General features: G+C 38.5%; 1 long non-coding RNA gene across 2 annotated transcripts in view; it reads left to right on the top strand.

Moving 5' to 3' along the window:
• The window catches only part of LOC105372190 (uncharacterized), a 312,925-nt gene that overhangs the window by 275,096 nt on the left and 13,962 nt on the right, over positions 1-23,867 (top strand). For both annotated transcript variants that reach the window (XR_007066468.1, XR_007066469.1), the window contains exons 5-6: positions 7,474-7,581; positions 15,688-15,784. This is a non-coding gene — a long non-coding RNA (uncharacterized LOC105372190). The remainder of the gene's footprint in view (positions 1-7,473; positions 7,582-15,687; positions 15,785-23,867) is intronic.

Raw genomic sequence — 23,867 nt, 5'->3', positions numbered from 1 at the left:
GATTTGAAGTAAGCTAGTGTTTGAAGATAGACAGAATATGGAAATTGTTGAAACATTTAGAAAATTATGACGGTACTTCAAGTGGGAGATGGTAACAGCTAAGAATATGTAGCGCCAGTGGGAATGGGCAGGGTGATGACAATACAAATGCCCACCCGAAGTGTTCCAGCTCCCCTCCTGTGGATAAAGACCATCAGCATAGTCAATTATGAATAAAGTTAAATAAACCGATATTTCCTAGTGACCTTCAGGCAATGTAACTTCTGGTTGTCTCTCTAATATCCATTCCATCCCCAATCCATTGTTCAGAAGTGAGCACTAAATGACCTAAATTGGTGCTGACAAATAGTAATATGCTATAATCTTTATATGCAATTATAAATATTTTAGCAGGCTTTAAAATTTTTTTTAAAAGACAAAATTGATTTAATGACATATTTTATTTAACCACATATATTCAATATGTTAACATTTCAACGTGAAACCAATATAAAATTAATGATGATATATATTACATTTTAGAATTAAGTCTTTAAGACTCGGTGTATATTTTATAAATAAACATAGATATATGGATATATTTGTATATTTCAATTAAAAGGTTACATTTTTATTGGAGATCCTTGAATTGTATTTAAATTTTATAAAATGTACACCTGAAACATAGATTCTCCATTTGAAAATTGTTCCAAACATATTTAAAGTTTTCCTAATAACTGAATGAAATATTTTTCCATTTAAATTTAACTAAACTTAAATACATTTTAAAAATTAATTTCTCCAGCACAGTAGCTACATTTCAAATGTCTAATAACCACATATAGCTATGGTTATCATATTGGACAGCGCAGATCTGAGTCAATTTGTATGATTCTGGTCCTATGTCTTTATATTTGGTTAAAGGATTGACACAAATTACAGCCTTAGGCCAATTTGTAGATTCTATTTTCCACAATAATTAATTCAGGGATGGACTAAAGCACTGGATATTTGTAATGGTTTAGTGGCTCCTTCATTCCTGTTTATTATGAGAGTAGTTACTTTTCAACCTAATGCCTAAGGAAAGTCAAAGTAAGGCTTTTATACAAAACCATTACACAAAGAGGGTGAGCTGAGAGATAAGCAGAGAAGTAAAATTGGATTAGAGTCAATACTGCTTGAAGCCCAAATGATTATTTATGGTCTTTTTAGTCACATGACTCAAGAAATTCTTCTTCTTTATTCTTCAAGCTATTTTGAGTTAGATGCTTCATTATTCGTAAGAAAAATAATCATACGTACTTTTCATAATGTAAAAGTATGAATCATACTTTTCATAATTCGTAAGAAAAGTTGGTACAGGATTACTCTCAAAAGTGGGAAATATCAAGAAACAGATAACGAAATATGAAACTGACTCACCAGAGGATTTAGATAGAACAGCCCTGAGAATCATTCTATCTCAGCTGGGAAGTAAGTTGGCAATTATAATTACACACTGCTAGTATTTATGTGGGATACCCAGTTACAGACTCACTGGTGTTTCTTCTTATAAGGACATTGACCCTATTGGGTCAGGGCCCCACCTCTAGGACCTCATTTAACCTTGACTAAGGTTAAACTTGTTACAGGCTCTGTCTCCAAATATAGTCTCACTGGGTATTAGGATTTCAATACATGAATTTTGGGGAGATATATACATTCTGTCTAAAACACTTCTACTTGCTTATACAGTCTTTTCCATTTTTCCAACTTATGGTCACTCTATCCTTCAATTTACTAATTTTCTTTTCAGGTCTTTTTTTGTGTTCAATCACTGAGTCTTTAATTACAGGTATTATATCATTCTAGTCCTCCCATTTAGTTTTCTTTTATGTCTCTGTGTTCTCTAGCAAAAACCCCAGTAACATTATAAATTTATTTTTACAATATTTTACAGTATTTTTACAATATTTATTGACAATATTTTATATTATTTCCAATATTTTTACAATATTTTTACAATATTTTACCATATTTTTACTCAACTATCCAGTTACCTTCTCTACAAATTTTATACCGCTTCCTCAATCAATACTAGTAAATGAATTCATTTTCATTTTTTGTAAAATTTATTTATTGTAAAATTATTAAGCTTAGAATTTTAAGGTTTGTGTTTGGTAATTTCTCCAATCTGGGGCTCTTCTAGAGTCTATTCCATGTATATTGTTTTTCTTTATTGTTAGTCATACTTTTTGTCTAGTTTGTGTCTTATTTTTTATCAACTTACAAACTTCAAAAAAACTTAGTAATTATTTTAGGATTGAAAAAATTGCTCCAAGTTTCTTTAGTTTTGCTTCTGATGGTTGGTTAACTCAAATTTAATCAAATGTCAAGGGTTAAGATAGTTGAAATCTAGGCCCCAGTGCTGGCATAGACTGGACTACTGCTAGAACACTTGTAATCCTGTAAGCACTCAAGAGTCATAACAGGCCAGGTGCAGTGGCTCATGCCTGTAATCCAGGCACTCTGGAAGGCCTAGATGGGTGGATCACCTGAGGTCAGGAGTTCAAGACCAGCCTGGCCAACATGGTGAAACCCCGTCTCTAATAAAAATACAAAATAATTAGCTGGTCATGGTGACGCATGCCTATAGTCCCAGCTACTCGGGAGGCTGAGGCAGGAGAATTGCTTGAACTTGGGGGACGGAGGTTGCAGTGAGCTGAGACTGTGCCACTGCACTCCAGCCTGGGTGACAGAATGAGACTCCAACTCAAAAAACAAACAAAACCAAAACAAAACAAACAAAAAAAAGAGTCATAACAGTAATCGGAAGGCTAAGAAGCCTCTACTTTTTGTCTGCAGAGAGGGTGTTCTCATTTTGGTCCCATGAGCCCCATGCAGCTGTCAAAATTGCTATTTATAATCTTGGGCTTTCAGTTTTTTCTTCAAGGATGGGTTGACAAGTGTTGAAAAAGTGACTCCAAGTGTCAGGCTTACCTCTCTGGGTTTTCTTACCTTGGATCTTAGCCCCATAATTCTTTGTCATGTTATAATATCTCTAATCCCTCCAAGAGGAAGTTAGAAAATATTTACTTTACATTTTCGAGTCAACTTTACTAGGACAATCCTTAGAAATTAGTTAGTCTTTCATTACCAGAATCAGAGGCCCTCAATGATATTTTAAAGTTGCATTGCCTAAGAAGGTAAAACTAGCAGATCCATACAGTAATATCAAGGATAACAAGCATATCAAGAAGTTGATTGTTAAAGTGTCCACCACAATGACCTTTGCAGATAATGTCATAAATGGCAATAGTGGAAACATATAATAACATCAAGAACAAAAACATTCACTTATTTTGTCTTAGGCACTCTCCTAAGAGATTTTTTTTTAACTTTTATTTTAGGTTCAGGGGTACTTGTGCAGGCTTGTTATATAGGTAACCTCAAGTCATGGGAGTTTGTTGTCCAGATTATTTCATCACCCAGGTACTAAGCCTAGTACCGAACAGTTATTTTTTTCTGATCCTCTCCCTTCTCCACCCTCAGGTAGGCCCAAGTGTCTATTGTTCCCCTCTTTGTGTCCATGTGTTTTCATAATTTAACTCCCACCTATAAGTGAGAACATGCGGTATTTGTTTTTTTGTTCCCGGGTTAGTTTGCTAAGGATGATGGCCTTCAGCTCCATCCATCTTCCTGCAAAGAATATGATCTCATTGCTTTTTCGTTTTTGTTTTTGCTTTGAGAGTCTCACTCCATCACCCAGGATGGAGTGCAGTGGTGCGATCTTGGCTGTGCAACCTCCTCCTCCCGAGTTCAAGCAATTCTCGTGCCTCAGCCTCCCAAGTAGGTGGAACTGCAGGTGCCCGCCACCACGCCCAGCTAATTTTTGTATTTATAGTAGAGACAGGGTTTCACCATGTTGGCCAGGCTGGTCTTGAACTCCTGCCTCAGCCTCCCAAAGTTCTGGGATTACAGGCATGAGCCACCACACCCGGCCTGACCTCATTCTTTTTATCGCTGTGTAGTATTCCATGGTGTATATGTACCACATTTTCTTGATACAGTCTACGGTTGATGGGCATTTAGACTGATTCCATGTTTTTGCTATTGTGAATAGTGCTACAATGAACGTATGTGTGGTTGCGTCTTTAAGGCAGAATGATGTATCTTTCTTTGGGTATATACCCGGTAAGAAGATTGCTGGGTCAAATGGCAGTTCTGTTTTTAGCTCTTTGAGGAATTGCCTGGCTGCTTTCCACAATGGTTGAAATAATTTACACTTCCATCAACAGTGTACAAGTGTTCCCTTTTCTCCGCAACCCTACCGGCATCTGCTATTTTTTTACTTTTTAATAATGGCCATCCTGACTGGTGTGAGATGGTATCTCACTGTGGTTTTGATTTGCATTTAAGAGCTTATTGTGAAGTTATTTTTTCAATGCTAAAGGAAAAAGAAGTCGGATAGAACGGCTGTGCCCAGCTTTACACACATAGAAGAAGTGGCAGAGACAGAATCCTTCTCCAGCCAGTCCCAACAAGGTTATAAGTAGTTTATACAAATCATACTTAGTTCTTCTAATTCCAGAGCCTTCACCTTTGATAACTACACAATTCTCAGCAGGCAAATATAGTGACCAAAAAGAATGAAGAGCAAGGAAAAGTCTCTTGGGAGCAGAACAGGGACAGATTCACCAACGACAGACTAATTGGGCAGTAGCACAATGTACAGTGGATCCCTGAGCCCTGTTTGCTATTTTCCTGTTGGCTTTTCAAAATAAAACTTTTGTCATGATTATGAAGTTCTATCTTAGTATTGCATATTGACCATGTTGTGGATAAAATCATCAGGTTGTTGGATATGATAGAGGGTATGGCTTTTATTTCAGGCATCTGGCTCATTGTGTACTGGTGCTTTGTGGGAAGGGATGACAGTATCTCAGGTAGGGGAAAACATATTTGGAATTCTATGCATGGGAAAGTGGGCATTTGTGAAAGCTGAGTGGCAACATGTCTTTTCTGTTACCTTGAACATTTTACCTGTTGGCAAAATATAAGTACCTAATAGTAAAATTAAATGACTTTTTAATAATCTCTCTCTCACACACACACACACACACACGTGCATACAAACACCAAAGCCCTTGTTAACTCCCCAGATCAACTGGTTTGGATATTATATAATTTAATTACACTCTTTGGTATGGGAATAAAATGTCATTCACTCGTCTCAGCTACAGAAGATTTGGAAGTGTATGAAGTTTGCACAAATTCTTGATGGTGAGGGAACATATTTTAGGTAGATGGTAGGTCTGAAGAATAGAAATTTCTTTGAGGTTTATAGAAAAATAATTAATAATTTGCCCAAACATTTTTTTCTTTATACTTGAAACAGGACTTCAATTTAACTTTAAAAATTATTGAATCATTTACATTTTATATTAGACTCAATGCACTGCTTTCTTATGTTACCATAAGCCACTAAATATATCAAAATAGAGAAAAGCTTATTTTAAAATATCCATTTAATATATTTGTAATGTATAAAATTATTTAGCACTAAAAAAAGATGAATGGTGTAAATAATTTATTTTTCTTCCAAGCTAATTATTTATCAATCTGAGGTTCTGAGACCCATCTGCAAAGATTCTGTTTTTTATCATTAAAACATATGTATATTTAAATATATACTTAAAGCCTAAGTTAATAAGTAAAAAAGTAGTAATGGAAAAACAACGTTTTCTTTATTTAGTAATTCTTTAAGCACCAAAATGACCAAGACAATTATAATTTGCTAAAATAGATGAATAATGTGTTTTGACCTAAAATGTAAAATGAGTGAAAGACTTAGAAGCTAAAGGAAAATTTTAAAAACTTGAACACTATGAAGGCAGTAGCGGAACTGATTAGGTGAGGAAGAAGCACAAGAAGTATTTAGTTGAACAGATGTATCTGTAATCTACTGTTAGGATGGAGTTGGAGGCAGGGGAGAATAGTTAAGTTTGTTATGAATCTGTTTTTAAAGAGTAAAATCTACTAGGTGACACTACTTTATCAAATAAATGAGATGTTTTTAATATAAGACAGGGAAATCTCAGAAATGACAGAAAATAGTGCTGCAAGGTACATGTCAATATAGACAGTTAAGATAGTTGAAACTTACAATATTCTATTATTGTTAAATATAACTCTGCACATAAGATTGCATTTTTAATAAATGAAGGATAAAAGGAATTACATTGCCTGAAATTGAAAAATGATCACTGCAAATATTTTACTAGCAACATGACTGAAAACAATTAAATAAGGTGAGCCTCATTTAAGATATAATTGTGGCTTATCAAAAATTCTACTGATAATGTTCTTATTCACAATCCTTATAACATTTTTATCTAAACTCTTTTGCTAAGGTATGTTGTAAAATTTCTTTAATGTTCTTCTTTACTTGTTACTTCAAAATAGTAAAAAAAAACCTCATTGGATATGCAAGTTTTCGTAAATGTGATTTCTTATTTAAAGTTTTAAATATTTATTCTTGATGTAGTTCTAATCATTCTTTCAATGAAGTTAGAAATCAGAGAGGGAGAGTTTTCTTCTCAAAGTTGTCTTATCTGTGAATTAAAATACGTTAATATATTGTAGAACATACAAAAGATGTGAATTATAGCATTTCTGAATAAAATCACAAGTTAATCAAATGGCTAATATTTTATGCTCATACACACAGCTCAAATCTGCGAAGTAGCTTAGTATCCATAGCAACTATCATAGCATAACAGTCTGTTTTCCCAGACCACTATTTTTTTGTTTGTTTTGTTTTGGGTTAAGAAGAATTCCCTAGGCTTACTGTTAATATTTTGTGCTAGCAAACTACTGAACCAAGAAAAGAATCTTGCTAGCAACTGTGTTCGAGATTAACGTCTGAAAAATTAATTTGCTAGGACAAAAGTGGAAGCCAAATGGTTGCAATAAATATAACACAATCAAATATATGAAATTTATGAGTCATTAAAAAGGTCAAGTTTAGAATCACCAGCTGTGAATTTAAATGGAAAAAAAGGATTGATTTCTTTATAGTTTTCTGAGCAATTAGGTACGTGAAAACATACATTAGACAAGAAAGCCAAGTGGTGCCAATCCATCAGCTACTGAGCATGTTTACAAAAATCATATACACGCATAGGAATCATTAATCCAAAATCCAGGTTAATAATTTATTATTTATTAATTTATTTAAAGCTTACATTTTCCACATGGGGAACATACCATAATTTAAAAGTCAACTTTTTGAGAATATACAGGATAAATGTACAACTTAGTTTTCTATATTGCTACAAAATTAGGGTTCAGATGGTATTAGCGTTTTCGAATGTGACAATCATGATAATATGTGTTCTTTTCTTAACTTTGCAAAACACCTTCAGACAAGTTAACCAAAGGAGTGACAAGCATGCCACATAATTTACGAGACAAAAGAAATAAATGCTGCTTATTTCCTTTCACATTTCACAGGAAGTGCCTTAGACTACTTCTCAAACCTCAGTCCACGTCAGAATCACCAAAGGGCCTGATGCATCCCAGATTCCAGTCCCTTCTCTCCATCCCAGACATTCTGCTGAGGTAGGTCAGAGGTGAGGCCTGAGAATCTCGGTTTCTTCCAACTGCCCCACTCATGCTGACGCTGCAGTTGGGGGAATGCCCCCTGACAACCACTTCCTTAGAATATAAAGCATCCCCTGCCTTCCACAACTATTAAAATGGAATGGATGTCTACTTTTCTATAATGTTCTCTGTATTTCTCCTGGCTTATTTCTTTAGGCAGCTTACCTTCTAATTACTAAATTCTTCCTCATATGAACCTAAATATCTCTCTGTAATTTATTTCACATCGTTTCCTGTTTCTGAAGTTTTTAATTATCACACTTCTTTCTGGATTATCTAATCTCTCTAGATTTAATGTTTTTAAGCTACCATCACACATTTCAAATTTATTTGCCTGTTAACAGCATGTTGACACTTTGTTACTATGAGTCAATCTTGGTTTGACTATTGCCCCAAACCTTAAATAATATGAATATTTAACATAGTATCTGACACATAAACACTTTTACCTTCTGTTACTTCCATAAGAAAATTGGACATTTCTGATTTTAAGACATATGTTTTGTAAGCACATTCTGCTTCTGTTTCTTTATCTTATATATTTCAGTTGTTTTTGAAATAAATCAAATGGAATATACATCATTGGTTCTTTGATGCAATAATGCTTAAGAAGTCTGAAATTCCATAACAATGCAATCAAGTGTTAGTTTAAGCGGCCTAGGACATATTACTTTAAAATGAATATCTTCCACTGTAACCTATGGATGTTATATCCTGAAGTAGTATTATGCTTGTAACAGATAGGCTTGAGACCAAGCTGCTAAAACACACAGACCACAAAATGCAGTTGCTGCTTCTTCTCCCCCATAAGGCTCTAGAAAGGGAGGGAAGGAGGAAGGGAGGGAGGAAGGGAGGGCTCTGTGTCAACATGTCCTGCAGGAACGCTTCCTGGCAGGGAAGCTCTGGTGTTCCTTCCATGTGGTTTCTGTTTCTGTAACTGAAACACCACCCCAGTTGTCCACAGGCTAGCTCATCATTTCACACTGGACAGAGATAAAGGAGAACATGGAAGGCAAGAACATTCATATTTTTAAGGCCCTAAAATGATATTGGACACATCACTTATTTTATTTTTTTATTTTTCTGGGTACATAGTAGGTGTATATTTATGGGGAAAATGAGATGTTTTGATACAGGCATGTAAAGTGAAATAAGCACATCATAGAGAATGAAATACTGGCAAGGAGGTGGAGAAAAGGGAACCTTCATACACTGTGGATGGGAATGTAAATTAATACAGCTACTATAGAGAACAATTTGGAGGTTCCCGAAAAAAACTAAAAATAGAGCTACCACACGATCCAGTAATCCCACTGCTGGGTATATACCCAAAAGAAAGGAAATCAGTATATGAAAGAGATATCTGCACTCCTATGTTTGTTGCAGCTCTGTTTACAGTAGCTAAGATTTGGAAGCAACCTGTGTCCACACTTCACTTATTTTAGACTATCAGTCAAAATTTAACCACACTCTGACACCTAGCAACAAAGCAGGCCTGGGGCTCTCACACTCATGGGGCTGTCACATTTGTGCACATCTTGTGGGTAAGGCACAGTGTTCCCTTTGTTTTGGATTCGTTTTTCAAGGATTTTTGTCTAACCAATAGCCTTGAAAGACAATGAGAATGTCTCCCTCCAAAGTGAGAGCTGGGAACAGGAACTCCCACTCGCTTGCCTCTTGGCTCCCTAAGCGCAGGGATGCTTTACTGCAATGCCATCCACTCCTGATGAATGTGTCATCTGGCCGTCTCCACACCACTCTGTGGGGATTAGAGCACGGGGAATTGTCACAATAAAATGCTTATGCTGTGGATACTGTTATTGCTTAAGCAACAAAGCCCTTTTTCTCCAGAAATCTCCTATCTTCTGCCAGCATCAGTGACACTAAGAAAGGCTAACTTGTCAATTTGAAAGCAGGGTAAAATCTCAGCCCTATATAAGAGTTCTTGACAACTTTGGCAATACTGATGGGATAATGATAAGCATAGTGGAAAATAAAAGATGAGGGCATTGTCAGCTGATTAAAGGGACTTGTAGGAAGTCCGTGAGAATCAGTAGGAAACATGTTGGCTAAAGTCTACCTGGTAGTAATGGCCCTTCACTTTATTGACTGATAGTGAGGAGAAGTTGGGGAGATAGCTAAAGTTTGAGCAAGCGCAAAGGAGATTTAAAGACCACTGCCCAAATGATCTGGCTGTGGTTACCACTCCTCTGGTGGGAGGATTTCCTGGTTCATCCAGCAACCAGACACAGGTTCAGTGCATCACACTGCCTAGTACTGAAATCTGTCCTGAGTGACCAGGACATTCCAATTCCTTTCAGATAAGAGTTATAGAGATGCATGCTAACTCAGCATAACATGAGAGAAATTCATGACAGCACTTGGCTGAAACTAGGAAAATCAGTATTTTGGCTGTTTTGATTGGAGGATGACAGTCTGGGGAAAGTAATAGTTTTAAAGAAAGAAGATGCCAGGAGCGGTGGCTCACACCTGTAATCCCAGAACTTTGGGAGGCCAAGGCAAGTGGATCATGAGGTCAGGAGATCAAGACCATCCTGATCAACATGGTGAAAGCCTGTTTCTACTAAAATACAAGAAATTAGCCGGGCGTGGTGGCACATGCCTAGAGTCGCAGCTACTCCAGAGGCTGAGGCAAGAGAATCGCTTGAACCCAGGAGGCAGAGGCTGCAGGGAGCCGAGATCGTGCCACTGAACTCCAGCCTGGTGATAGAGCGAGACTGTGTCTCAAAAAAGAAAAAAAAAGAAAGAAGAAATAAGTTCTCATGTTCTACACTACTGCAGGATGACTATAGTTAGCAATAATACGTAATATATTTTCAAATAGCTATAAGGAGGATATTGAACTTTCCTAACACAGAGAAATAATAAATGCTTGAGATGATGGATATGCTAAGTTCCCGGAACATATACATTATATGCATAAAAACATCACTGCTGCGAGTGCAGTGGCTCACACCTGTAATCCCAGTGCTTTGAGAGGTCAAGGTAGGTAGATCGCTTGAGCTCAGAAGTTTGAGACCAGCCTGGGCAACATAGTGAAATCCTGTCTCTACAAAAACATACAAAAATTAACCGAGCATGATGTCATGTGCCTGTAGTCACAGCTACTTGGGAGGCTGAGGTGAGAGAATCCCTTGAACGTGGGAGGCGGAGGTTGCAATGAGCCGAGATCACTCCAGTGTATCCAGCCTAGGTGACAGAGAGGAATTGTGTCTAAACAAAAACAAAAACAAAAACAAAACAACCAAAAAACCCATGTGTTCCATGAACATGTACAACTATTATTTGTCAATTAAAAAGGGGAAAATTTTTTAAAAAGAAAGAACAGCAACAGCTTTGCCGTTTTATGGTTCAATAGCTCCTGTAGTCTTCCTGTCCAACTTTGATTCATTTAGGGATGGCATTAAAGTTCTCAGAGATTTATTTTTTCAGTGGTTCCTGACTACATTAAGGAAGCTTTGATTCTCTTGTGGAGAATCCTCCAAGAAAACATACTTGTATCATGGAAACTCATAGATTCAGCTCTGGGCAGTTTGGGGCCTCTTACTGACCTCTATTCAACTATAGTGTTGATGAAGGTGGCCTTTAGGACAATGAGGAACTGACCAGGAAAGTCCTGATACACTCTTGCATCTACCCCACTATCCTGGAAAGCTCTTTTAGTCCTCATGTTAAAATTGGGCAAAAGCTCAAGCCTTATGGAAATGGGCAGCAAATGGCAGCCATTGGATTGGGATGCTGATAGTGTTTGGATTTGCATCCCCACCCAAATCTCATGTTGAAGAGTAATCCCCACGTGTTAGGGGAGGGACCTGGTGAGAGGTGACTGGATCATGGCAGCAGTTTCCCCTGTGCCGTTCTTATGATAATGAGGGAGTTCTCATGAGGTCTGATGATTTGAAAGTGTGTGGTGGTTTTCCCATATACTCTCTCTCCTGCCCCCATGTAAGACGTGTCTTGTTTTCCCTTCACCTTCTGCAATGATTGTACTTTTCCTGAGGCCTGCCCAGCTGTGCAGTCAGTTAAACCTCTTTTTTTTTTTTTTATAAATTACCCAGTCTCAGGTAGTACTTTATAGCAGTGTGAAAACACTCCTTAGAAAATGAGTTGCATCTGAATAAGTTAGGTTTGATTCAACCAAAGGGTGCAAACTCCATGGCCCCAGCCAGAAAGTAGTACAACTGTGGCTGCTGAATTCAGGGATCTCCAAGGCTCCCTAAGTGCAGGGCTCCTCTACTGCAATGCCATCCACTCCGGATGAATGTGTCATCTGGCATGGTGTCGGCCATGAAGACCTGGCTGAAAAGTCTGTAAGTTCACGTGGCTGGGCCACAAGCTGCACCACAACAGTCTGTTTACAGGGCCTTTCTTTCCTCTTTGCCCTGATCCTTCCCCCTTCCTCTCTGGCTTTAAACAGAAAGATGACTAAAACTTTGGCTGAGGTGTCCCAGTCCCCACTGGGGACTAAAAGCCGTTCACATCTATCCAAGCATGCTGGGAAACTTGGGAGACGTGAGGAAATTCAGATTTTATGGCTTTGTTGATACAGGTGACCAAATCACTATTAATGGGGAAGGAAAGCTAATGTAACCTTTTAGGTAGGGCCCATGAGCAGGGTTGATTTGATTTGATGTCCTTTTCAATGGCCTACAACCTTGACAGTGTAGTAGGAATTGATTTGCTCTATGTGTATACTTCCAATACTGCAAGTGCTGGTTCTTGTCAGAAAGAGCCATTTGGATAGAAGTTTTAGTAGCACCCAAAGATGTCTTTGGGTTTCTGATGCCTCACCTCCATGACACAGTCACTTGTCACATTGATTTTGAAAATCACTTTTACTTTCCTTCTCAGAAGCAAATTCCTGATCCATGGAGGTCTTGTGACTCTCTAACCTGATGTTCTGGCTGTGGGGTGGGTACAATCAGACTCAATAATTAACAAGAGACAAAGGATTCAATAAGATTCACTTATCAAATGGAAACGGTCTTTTTAAAAATGCAGCTAGGCCTCCCCATGGCAACTTGGCCTGGCATGAAAAAGTGAGCAGCTGGCTCAGTTGGCCCTCAGTTCACAGGCTTTCTCTTAAATGCCTGGGTCTGTTTCGCTGGTAGTTTGCTGAGCTGAAACCCAGTGGTGCCCACTGGTTCGTGGTGCTGTTCATCTCAGTGCCATCTATGTACAACCAAATATCAACATGGTCAATTTCCTCAGTGGGCATCATTCAAGGACATTCTCATGGTTCCAGCCAATATTCTCCTGGATTAGTTTTGTCATATTTTTACTTATTCTGTAAAATGAGACTGTAGTCAATGGCCTAGCAGTTTGATCTATCACTTAGAAAATCACAAGCAGACAGATTAAATTTATGCCTAGTGTTCCATTATTGGAACGCTAAGTATGTGAGAGTTATTCATATCCTACTGCTCAAGGTCATTGCCAAGGTCTGATTGCAAAAATTCAAAAACTTGCAACCCCAGGCAAAAATGGTTAAAGACACCTCTATTTACACTTGCAAAGGGTGGAAAGAAGTTGCTGCTGCTAACAAACACCAGACATTTCAAGTTCTTTTCTATTTATCAAGAATGCCATGGAGCTATTGGTACTTTTTTTAGGTTATGGTATTGCTATTTCAGATTATCAACTGACACCAGCATTCCAGCCCTTTGCAACTAAACATTCGGCATGCTTCCAGCTTTCCAGGCATTTGTAACCTGGCACTTGTTGATAGTAGCTTAAGAAAATTCCAAATGAGAGAAATTTAAGAGATTTGGTCTCAGCTTCTGTCAAGCCAGTGGAGTGCTATACTAATCAAAACATTAGGCAGAAGCCAAGAAAGTCTAGAAATAAGAGTTGCATCTTGTTGGGAGGTAATTCTCCTCGGCTCTCTCAACTTTATGCACGTCTTGCAAGCAGTGTATGCCACTGACTGTCTTCTTTTTTTCAGGGCTAAATTTTAAGTGTGTTTGTTTAATGAACAGCCTCAAAAGAAGGCAGAGATAGTGTCTCCCACCAGAACAAAGGGCAATTGTGCTCACTGCCCTCTAGAAAAGTCTGCTCTCCCTAAGCTAAGGGTTATTTCCCTGTAACTCAGCCCACTTTGTCAACAGGTATTATTTGTTTCTCCTCGTTTCTTCTTGTGGCAAATGGGCCTTGGAGAATTGGAGCAAGAAAATGCTTATACTCTAGCATTATAGACTGAATTGTGTTCCCCTAAATTCCATATGTCAACATCCTAACTTCCACCCACTACTATGTTTGGAGATAGGATTTTTAAAGAGGTAATTAAGTTAAAATCAGTTCACTAGGGTGGACCCTACTCCAACATGACTGGTGCCCTTACAAGAAGAGGAGAAAGACACAGTCATGCAGAGAGGGATGGCCATGTGAAGACACAGGGAGAAGACAGTTGTCCACCAGCCAAGGAGAAAGTCCTCAGAAGAAACCAATCCTGCTGACACCTTGATCTCAGACTTACTGCCTCTGGGACTGTGAGAAAACAAATGTCCAGTGTTTAAGCCATTCAGTCTGTGGTACTTTCTTATGGCAGTTTTAGATAATTAATACATCTTGATACTGCTATCTGTGTGAGTGATAAAGTGCGTTTTTCTCTGACAAAAGAGTCTCATGTGTTTTTGTTTGTTTTTCTAGCATTCATCCAGACTAACTTGTTAACTTGCAAGTAGAGTACTGCCTCGGAATATCCACATTTCTGGGCAAAAGGAAGCTGTGTCTTTAGCTGGGTGACTGTATTAGTTTATTCTCACACTGCTCTAAAGAATTGCCCAAGACTGGGTAGTTTTTAAAGGAAAGAGGTTTAATCGGCTCACAGTTTACCATAGCTAGGGAGGCTTCAGAAAACTTACAATCATGGCAGGAGGTGAAGGGGAAGCAAGGCACCATCTTTACAAGGCAGCAGAACGGAGTGTGAATGCAGGAGGAACTACCAAACGCTTATAAAACCGTCAGATCTTGTGAGAACTCCCTCATTATCACAAGAACGGCATGGGGGAAACTGCGCCCATGATTCAATTACCTCCCCCTGGTCTCTCCCTTGGCACATAGGGATTACGGGGATATTACAATTCAAGATGAAATTTTGGGTGGGGACACAGACGAACCATATCAGTGACTAATTATACAAACAAAATCCAGGCTGGGAGGAGGTTCTATCACTACTAAAATCAGAAAAGGTGGAACAGACATGATTCAGGGACAGGTAGAATAATAACAATGGAATATGGAAACAAATAAAAGGGAATAATAATGTCACAAGAACAAAGGTGGGGTATATTTACTTATTTAGTCATTTCAAATATTACAACCATATTCTAAATCAGCAATTACCAATGTTTATTCCGAGGATCGAAATACAAGTTTCTGGGTTAAGCAATTGTAAATAGTGACTCGATAATAGCCTTTAGAGGCTTTTGTGGTAATGATTGTATGGTTTTGGCTCTGTGCACTAGCGATAATGATAGTTTTCCTTAATATTTTCACTGAAATTGGCTTATGAACATCTCATGGTCATAATTCTAAAAATTCATAGAATTCAAATCCAGTGACTTCATTTGTGATTTAGTAAACTGACGTCTCTATGATTATGTGACTTGATTTAGAGCTACATCCTGGTAGAGTGAGAAATGGGATCCATTTACTCTGATTTCCATATGAATGGTTTTCCCAGGATCACAAGTCTTTTTAAAATAGGCATAAATTTAAGGTAAACAAAGGTTCAGTGTAATGCAAAAAACGTGTGCAATAACTAAATATTAAACTATAAAAAAGATTGTATCTATCTAAAACTAATTTGATATTACTATAGTCAACACTCTGGATAATGTGATAATTGCTAGAATATTAAGACTATCCAGAGTGTTAATATTTTAATAAATAATATCATTAGTATTCATTGAAACTTAGATAAAATATTTTGGAGAATAATTTAAATGAGACATGTGCCATGAATAAGATTCTTTTATTAAAATATTCTAATTTCCTGTAACAAGTAGATACAGTCAAAGTATTTTTTTGTTTTCTTTTTAGGCAACTACCACATTTAAGTGGACAAGTTCATCATTAATATTTAACTCATGAGGCCTCTCTTGGATCAGCTTTTCTTCACTGATCATTCATCTTTGAGGTACCATTGCCCCTTTACCCCAGTCAATATCAAGAGAAATGTTCAATGCCATACAGAAGTGTGCCAAGAGTAAAAGTGCCTGAAAGTAGAAAATGTAGTTGGCTATGAATCTGCCAATAATGCTGGCGATGTACGGGGAGGGTGGTGTGCAGGATAATGGACCCCAAAGGTGTCCCTGTACTGATTTTCCAGAACTGTGGTTATGCTACTTTACATGGTGAGGGGAATTCAGGTAGCAGGTGAAACTGAGATTGCTATATCAGTTGATCTTAAAATAAGGAGATTATCCTGGTTTATGCCGGTGCAGCTAATATAATACTAAGAGTCTTAAAGATGAGAGAGGGTAGCTGGTGTGTCTTTGTCACAGTGCCACAATGTGAAGAAGACTCGACTGGTCACTGCCGTGAGGCTAAGAGGGCAGTGAGGCTCTAGAAACTGGAAAAAGCCAGAAAACGCTTCCTCCTAGAGCCTCCAAAAATGAATGCAGCCTTGCTGATACCTTGTTTTTAAGCCCAGTAAGGTCTATTTTGTATTTCTGACCTTCAAAACTGTAAGGTAATAGATTTGTGTTGTCGTAAGCCAGCAAATTTGTGGTAATTCTTCACAGCTCTGTGGGTAAATATGTGCAAGCTACCATGTCTATTTTAGAAATACCGTGAGCATCTATCTTCCTACTGCCTCTGTTATTGTGCGAGTTCGGTTCCTTCATGAAAATAAAACAAGAATTATATGTAAGACCAGGTGCAGTGGCTCACGCCTATAATCCCAGCACTTTGGGAGGCCAAGATCGTAGGCAGATTGCTTGAAGCCAGGAGTTCAAGACCAGCCTGGGCAACATAGGGAGACCCTTTACCAAAAATACAAAAAACTAGCCAGGCATGGTGGCGCACCTGTAGTCCTAGCTACTTAGAAGGCCAAGGCAGGAGGATGGCTTGAGCTCAAAAGATCAAGGCTGCAGTGAGCTATGATGTGCACTCCAGCCTGGATGACAGATCGAGACCCTTTCCTAAGAAACAACAACGACAATGACAAAAAGAATTCTACAGATGTGTTAGATAGAAGTAAGTAAATGTAATGATAGAAGAGGTCTTGAAGAAGGAGCACTCCTCTGCTCAGTAAAGTAGTCTCCCCTCCTCATCACAACCCTCCCCCTTCATCCTTTTCCCTTGTAGTTTTCTCATCTTCATCTTCCACTTACTACATATTCACTTTTGAAGGCAGCATGGCTCTTACTCAACCGTCATATAAAAGAGGGTGTTATGATTGGAGGAAGTCTGGTCTTAAGTAATTCCTTAACCCATACTAGCCCATGACTTGAGTAAGTCTTTCTTTACATTTGATGCTTGAACAACACAAGTTTGACCTGCACTGGTCCATTGATACATACATTTTTTTCAATAAATCTCTCCTGTCTCCCTTTCCACCCCACGCCTACAACCTCTTCTGCCTTTGCCACCTGATATGGTTTGGATTTGTGTCCCCACCCAAATCTCATGTTGAATTGTAATTCCCAGTGTTGGATGACAGGCCTATTGGGAAGTCACTGGATCATGAGGGTGGATTTCCCCCTTGCTGTTCTTATGATAGTGAGGGAGTTCTCAGGAGACACGGTTGTTTAAAAGCGTGTAACACCTCCCCTTTCTCACTCTTCCTCCTTCTCTGGCCATGTAAGACATGCCTTCTTCCTCTTCACCTTCCACCACAATTGCAAGTTTCCTGAGGCCTCCCCAGTCATGCTTCCTGTACAGCCTGCAGAACTGTGATCCAATTAACCCTCTTTTCTTTATAATTACCCAGTCTTAGGTAGTTCTTTATTACAATGCAAGAATGAACTAATACTCTGCCCTTTAGACAGCAAAATCGACGCCTCTACTTCCTCCTCATCAGCCCACTCAGCGTGAAGATGATGAGGATGGAGACCTTTATGATGACCCACTTCCACTTAATGAATAGTAAATATCTTTTCTCTTCATTATATTTTTAAACAATATTTTCTTGGGAATAATTATTACTTTATTGGAAGAATCCAGTAGGTAATGCATATAACATACAAAATATGCATTTATTGACTGTTCATATTATCATTAAGGCTTCTGGTCAAGAGTAGGCTATTAGTAGTTACGTTTCTGAGAGTCAAAAGTTACATGCAAATTTTCTGCTGCGTAGGTGGGAGGTGGGGGATGGTGCCCCTAACTCTCAAGTTGTTCAAGAGTCAACTGTATATAGGGATCACATCACTTTATATTGAAAGTCCATTTCTCACAATGGTAAAGCTAGAGTCAATGATTGCTATGCATTTTTCTCAACATTTTCTATGGCAATCAGTAGCTACATTATATATTTTTTTTAACAGAGACTCTAAACACGGTAGTACTTAAAAGCTGATAGCAAAGGATTCATCAGAGAAAACCTGATAAGAGGTTTTAGCCTAATCTGCAATTTACAAGTCCTTTCAAATGTCTTTCTTGACCTCAGTGCCTCACTGCAAGCAAAAATGTAATCCTTTTGGTCAGCTCTTTGCAACTGCCTTATTATGGTATCTGGCTGCAATAATCTTACTATAGTGAGAACATTTTGCACAGCTCTTCATATTCGTTGGAGGTTTCTTAAACCTGACAGAGGGCCCCAGCCATTTAAATGACAGTTTTCTCAAGCTGTCATTTTAATATCAATAATTCAGCTATCCTCCATGTTTCTGACTTTTGTTCATTTTTTTTACTTCAGATGTGAAGATATGAATTGCTTCTTTTATTGTCTTGTAAACATACTTCTGAAATTCACCACTGCTTTCTATTTCTCAGGTGTTTCTTAACTGGATGAAATTAAAATAATCAAAAAATAGCTTGCAGATTCAACTACTTACTCATTTTAAAAATCAGCAACAGACACTTACTTGAAAATCTGCATGTATTTAGAAGCATATCTGTATAATCTATGTCTTGCTTAATGCCCACTGAGCAATGACTGTAAGTTAACATTGTTCTAAGTTCTTTCAATACCTCAATCATTTAAGTGATCAAAATAAATCTTTGAACGTTCTGTTGTAAATTTATGGCATTAAATATTAGACACTATATTGAATACAAAGTTATAGCAAAAAACGATTTTGTTGATCATCTGCTATAGAACATTTGTTCATTTTATGCAATATAAAAAGCTGAGTAAACATGATTTCAAATAAGGTAAAGAGATTACATGCATCCATGGTTTAAACTATATCACAAGTTAGCACTATTCACAATAGCAAAGACTTGGAACCAACCCAAATGGCCATCAATGATAGACTGGATAAAGAAAATGTGGCATAGATACACAATGGAATACTATGCAGCCATAAAAAAGAATGAGTTCATGTCCTTTGCAGGGACATGGATGAAGCTGGAAACCATCATTCTCGGCAAGCTAACACAGGAACAGAAAACCATACACTGCATGTTCTCACTCATAAGTGGGAGTTGAACAGTAAGAACACATGGACACAGGGAGAGGAACATCACACACTAAGGCCTGTTGGGGAGTTGGGGGCAAGGAGAGGGAGAGCATTAGGACAAATACCTAATGCATGCAGGGCTTAGAACCTAGATGACGGGTTGATGGGTGCAGCTAACAACCATGGCACATGTATACCTATGTAACAAGCCTGCATGTTATGCACATGTATCCCAGAACTTAAAAAGCATAATATATTTTATATATATACAACCATTACCTTGTATTCAATATAGTGTCTAATATTTAATGCTATAAATTTATAACAGAATGTTCAAAGTTTTATTTTTGATTACTTAAATGGATGAGGTATTTAAAGAACTTAGAACAATGTTAACTTACAGTCATTGCTCAGTAGGCATTAAGCAAGACATAGATTATACAGATATATATATATATCTCGCAAGTTTCCCTTTGAGCTGTATCCTAGTCAGCTTAGGCTGCTGTAACAACTTACCACAGACTGGGTGGCTAAAGAAAAGGAATTTATTTCTTACTCTTCTAGAGGTTCAGAAGTCCAAGGTCAAGCTGCCAGCTGGTTGGTTCACTTCTGTGGTGAGGCCCCTCTTCCTGGGTTACAGATTTCATGCTCACATGGCAGGACAGAGAGAAAGGAGCAAGCTCTTCTGTGTCTCTCCTTAGAAAGGCACTAATCTAATCAGGAGAGCACCACCCCATGGCCTCATCTATACCTAACTACCTCTCAAAAGCCTGTCTCCAAATACCATCACATTGGGAGTTAGGACTTCCACTTATGATTGTGGGGGACACAATTCCGTCCATAGCAACTGATAACCAGAAAACTCTCCTTTGATTAATATTAATATTTTAATTGTATGTATATCACTGTGAACAACCATAGCTGTTTATTTAATCTAAGATAGGAGTTATAGCTTTCTGAGCTAGACATATCAGATCCTTGACCTCAGAAATATTTTGAATATATGTACAACTAACATGTGTTATAGCTGGTTTCAAAGGTAGTACCATATGTAGAATAAAATAATAGCATCCAGTGACACACACACGCACACACACCCCAGTCAGATTTCCATCCTGGATATAACATGACTTATTCTTAGAAAATGATGCTGGTTCGGTGGTCTCTCCAGATTTTGTATTTGGTATCACTGCATTTACATTTAATTGTTATAAGATTCATTCTACAAATATCTATTAAGTCTACTATGTTCCAAAGCTATGTGGATTGTTTAAAAATCAGGGGAAAGAAAGGATTATTTGTCTGGCTGGGATTCATCCCTTTGGTGAATTCCTACATGATGTGTGTCACAATTTTTGATTACTTCAAAATCCAGGTAACTTATTCTCCTACCTATCTGTCATTCTCTCCATCAGAGAATCTGCCCATACTTGTACCCTGAGTCTTGGAGGCACATGTATCTGCAACCTTTCCTTCATCTCGATTTCAAACATTTCACTTTCTGATCAACATCTCCTATCTTGCCCTGTAACTCTGATTCCATTAATCATATCAATCTATGAACCTTTCTTTCTAAAGGTTCTCAAGCCTGTCATCTAACAATTATCTTTCTTGTTGAGCTAAAATTTCATAACTTATCATTATAATAACTCATCTGGATATACCTTCGAAACCCCTTCCTGCTCTCACTTCACAGCGTGTGCTCCTTTGGCAAAACCATGGCTTGATTACATCCTACTTCTTCACTGCACCATGGTGTGTTAGGCACGATGGTAGAATAATGGCCCCCGAAAGTGTACACATCCAAATCCCTGGAACCTGAAAATATGGTTGTTTACATGGCAAAGCAGAATTAAGGTTGCAGATGGCATTAATATTTTCAATCAGCAAACCTTATGCTAGGGAGAACATACAGGTGGGCCCAATGTCATAAGAGTCCTTCAAAGTGAAAGAGAAAATTGGAAAAGAACCAGATAGAAAGCAGCATGAAGAGAATCAAGGCCAATGGTGCTGGCTTTACAGATGGATGAAGGGGAGCATGGACTAAAGAATATGTCCAGAAGGTGGAAAGGATGAACCCATGGATTCTTGCCTGGAGCCTCCAGGGAGAACACAGCTCTGATGGCATCTTAATTTCAGCCCACTGAGGCCCACTTTGGAATTCTGAACTCCAGAAGTATAAAACAATAAATTTGTATCATTTTAAATCACTAGATTTGTAGTAATTTGTTACAGCAGCAACGGGAAACTAATACACTTGGTACCTAACCATTGATGTGGGAGAGCACAAAGCCATGCCAAAGGAATTAACGTTAAACTCATCCACTAACCTCGACTGGGACCTTAATACTGTATTTCCCTTGACTACTTCCTCTTCTACCCACCTGGGAGACTGTTTCATATCTACTATCAATGTATCTATGTTTTGATACCTTTTTCTCCCATAGTCAGTCTCAGATGAGGCTTTTTTTCCTACTGAAATGAGAAAGGAGAAGCAATCAGACAGGAACCCCACAAACTTTCACCATGACATCTCTCAACCTCATTATCACCTATGGCTATATCTTCTTTCTGATTATTACAGTTGAACTGCAGGCTCTTCTGGCTGAGGCAAATTCTTCTACCTGTGCAATAGAGCCTCCTGGGAGAGCACAGCCCCGCTGGCATCTTTTTTTTTTTTTTCCAGTGACTCAGGCTGGAGTGTAGTGGTGCCATCTTGGCTCACTGCAACTTTTGCCTCCTGGGTTCAAGCAATTCTCCTGCCTCAGCCTCCCAGGTAGCTGGGATTACAGGTGCTCGCCAACACACCCAACTATTTTTTGTATTTTTAGTAGAGATGGGGTTTCTCCATGTAGGCCAGGCTGGTCTCCAACTCCTGACCTCAAGTGATCCACCTGCCTCGGCCTCCCAAAGTGCTGGGATTACAGGCGTGAGCCACTGTGTCCGGCTCTGCTAGCATCTTAATTTCAGCCAGCACCATTGGGCTTAATTCTCCTCATGGTGCTTTCTCTCTGGTTCTCTTCCAATGTTCTCTTTCACTTTTAAGGATCCTTATGATGATATTGGGCCCATCTGGCTAAGACCAATCCCTCCACTGCAATAGATCAGTGCTTCTGAAACTTTAATGTGAATACAAATCACCTGGGGATTGTCTTCTTGGATTCTGAGATTCTGCATTTCTGCATGGTCCCACAGACTTCACTTTGAGTCCCTTGATCACTCCTCTAAGCTAACTCAACATTTTCTTCTCCCAGCTCATTGTCACATAAACCTCCTTGTATTTCCCCCATTGAAAATTACTCAAACATTAAAATAAATCCCATCCACCCCCTATTTCATTTTTCTTCCCTGGGTATCATAACATTTGTGTCCCTTTGGAGGAAAACTTGAAATTCCTCCAGTTTCCCTCCAATGTGTCTTTTGCTTCCTCCATTTTACCACAATTCTTCTTATCAAACAGACCAATGACCACTATGTTATCATCAATTCTCAGTTTTCTGGCCTATTTCAATTATCTGACCCATCAGCATTTCTGTGCTGATTACTTCTTCTTCTCAAAATATTTTCTTGACTCCCAGGACTTTACATGGCCTTTGTTTTCTTTCCACGCATGTTCTTCCCTTCCCCAGTTACTGCTTCTCTCTGGCCTTAATGATGCCTTCTAGGGCTGAAGTACTGGGCCTCTTCTCTTTGATGACAGCCACTCCATTGAGGCACTTATCCAGACTCCTGGATTAAAATATATTGAATTTGCTAACAAGTATTAAATGTATATCTCCAGGCTGGATCCTTTCCCTGACTTCATATGAACATGTTGTATTACTCAGGGTTCTCTAGAGGGAGATAATTAATAGGATAGATGTATATATAAAGGAGAGTTTATTAAGGAGTATTAACTCACATGATCACAAGGTGAGGTCCAACAATAGGCCATCTGCAAGCTGAGGAGCAAGAAAGCCAGTCTGAGTCCCAAAGTTCAAGAACTTGGAGTCTGATATTTGAGGGCAGGAAGCATTCAGCATGGGAGAAAGATGTAGGCTTAGAGGCTAAGCCAGTCTACTCTCTCCATCTTCTTCTGCCTGCTGCTTTTATTCTGACCATGCTGGCAGCTGATTAGACTGTGTCCACCCAGATTGAGGGTGGGTCTGCCTTTCCGTGTCCACTGACTCAAAGGTTAATCTCCTTTGGCAACACCTTCACAGACACCCAGGATCAACACTTTGCATCCTTCAATCCAATCAAGTTGACACTCTACATTAACCATCACACATGTATATCCAACTCTGTGTTTGATATCTGTGTTTGAACATCTGCTCACCATTTAAAAACCAAGTATTTTCTAAGTTGAATATCTGATGTAGTCTACCCTGAATCAGCTCTCTCATCTCAGTAAATGGAAATTCCATTTGACTTAGTTCCAAAACCTTGGAGTTGTCTTTTAGGTTCTTCCACATCCTGGGGTGTTTCCACCTAAAGGCCTTGATACTTGCCATTAACCTTACCTGGGATTTTCTTCTAGATATTCCATTGCTGACTTCCTCATCTCTTTCTAGTCTCCATTTAAATGTCACATTATCAGTAAGGGTCTTCCTGATTTCCTAATCTAAAATTGCAATGATTTCTCTCCAAGGCCCATTTCAATACAAACTTTTC

Source organism: Homo sapiens, chromosome 18, assembly GCF_000001405.40.
Source record: "Homo sapiens chromosome 18, GRCh38.p14 Primary Assembly".
Taxonomy (NCBI): Eukaryota; Metazoa; Chordata; class Mammalia; order Primates; family Hominidae; genus Homo; species Homo sapiens.
This window is presented reverse-complemented; position numbering and strand designations above follow the sequence as displayed.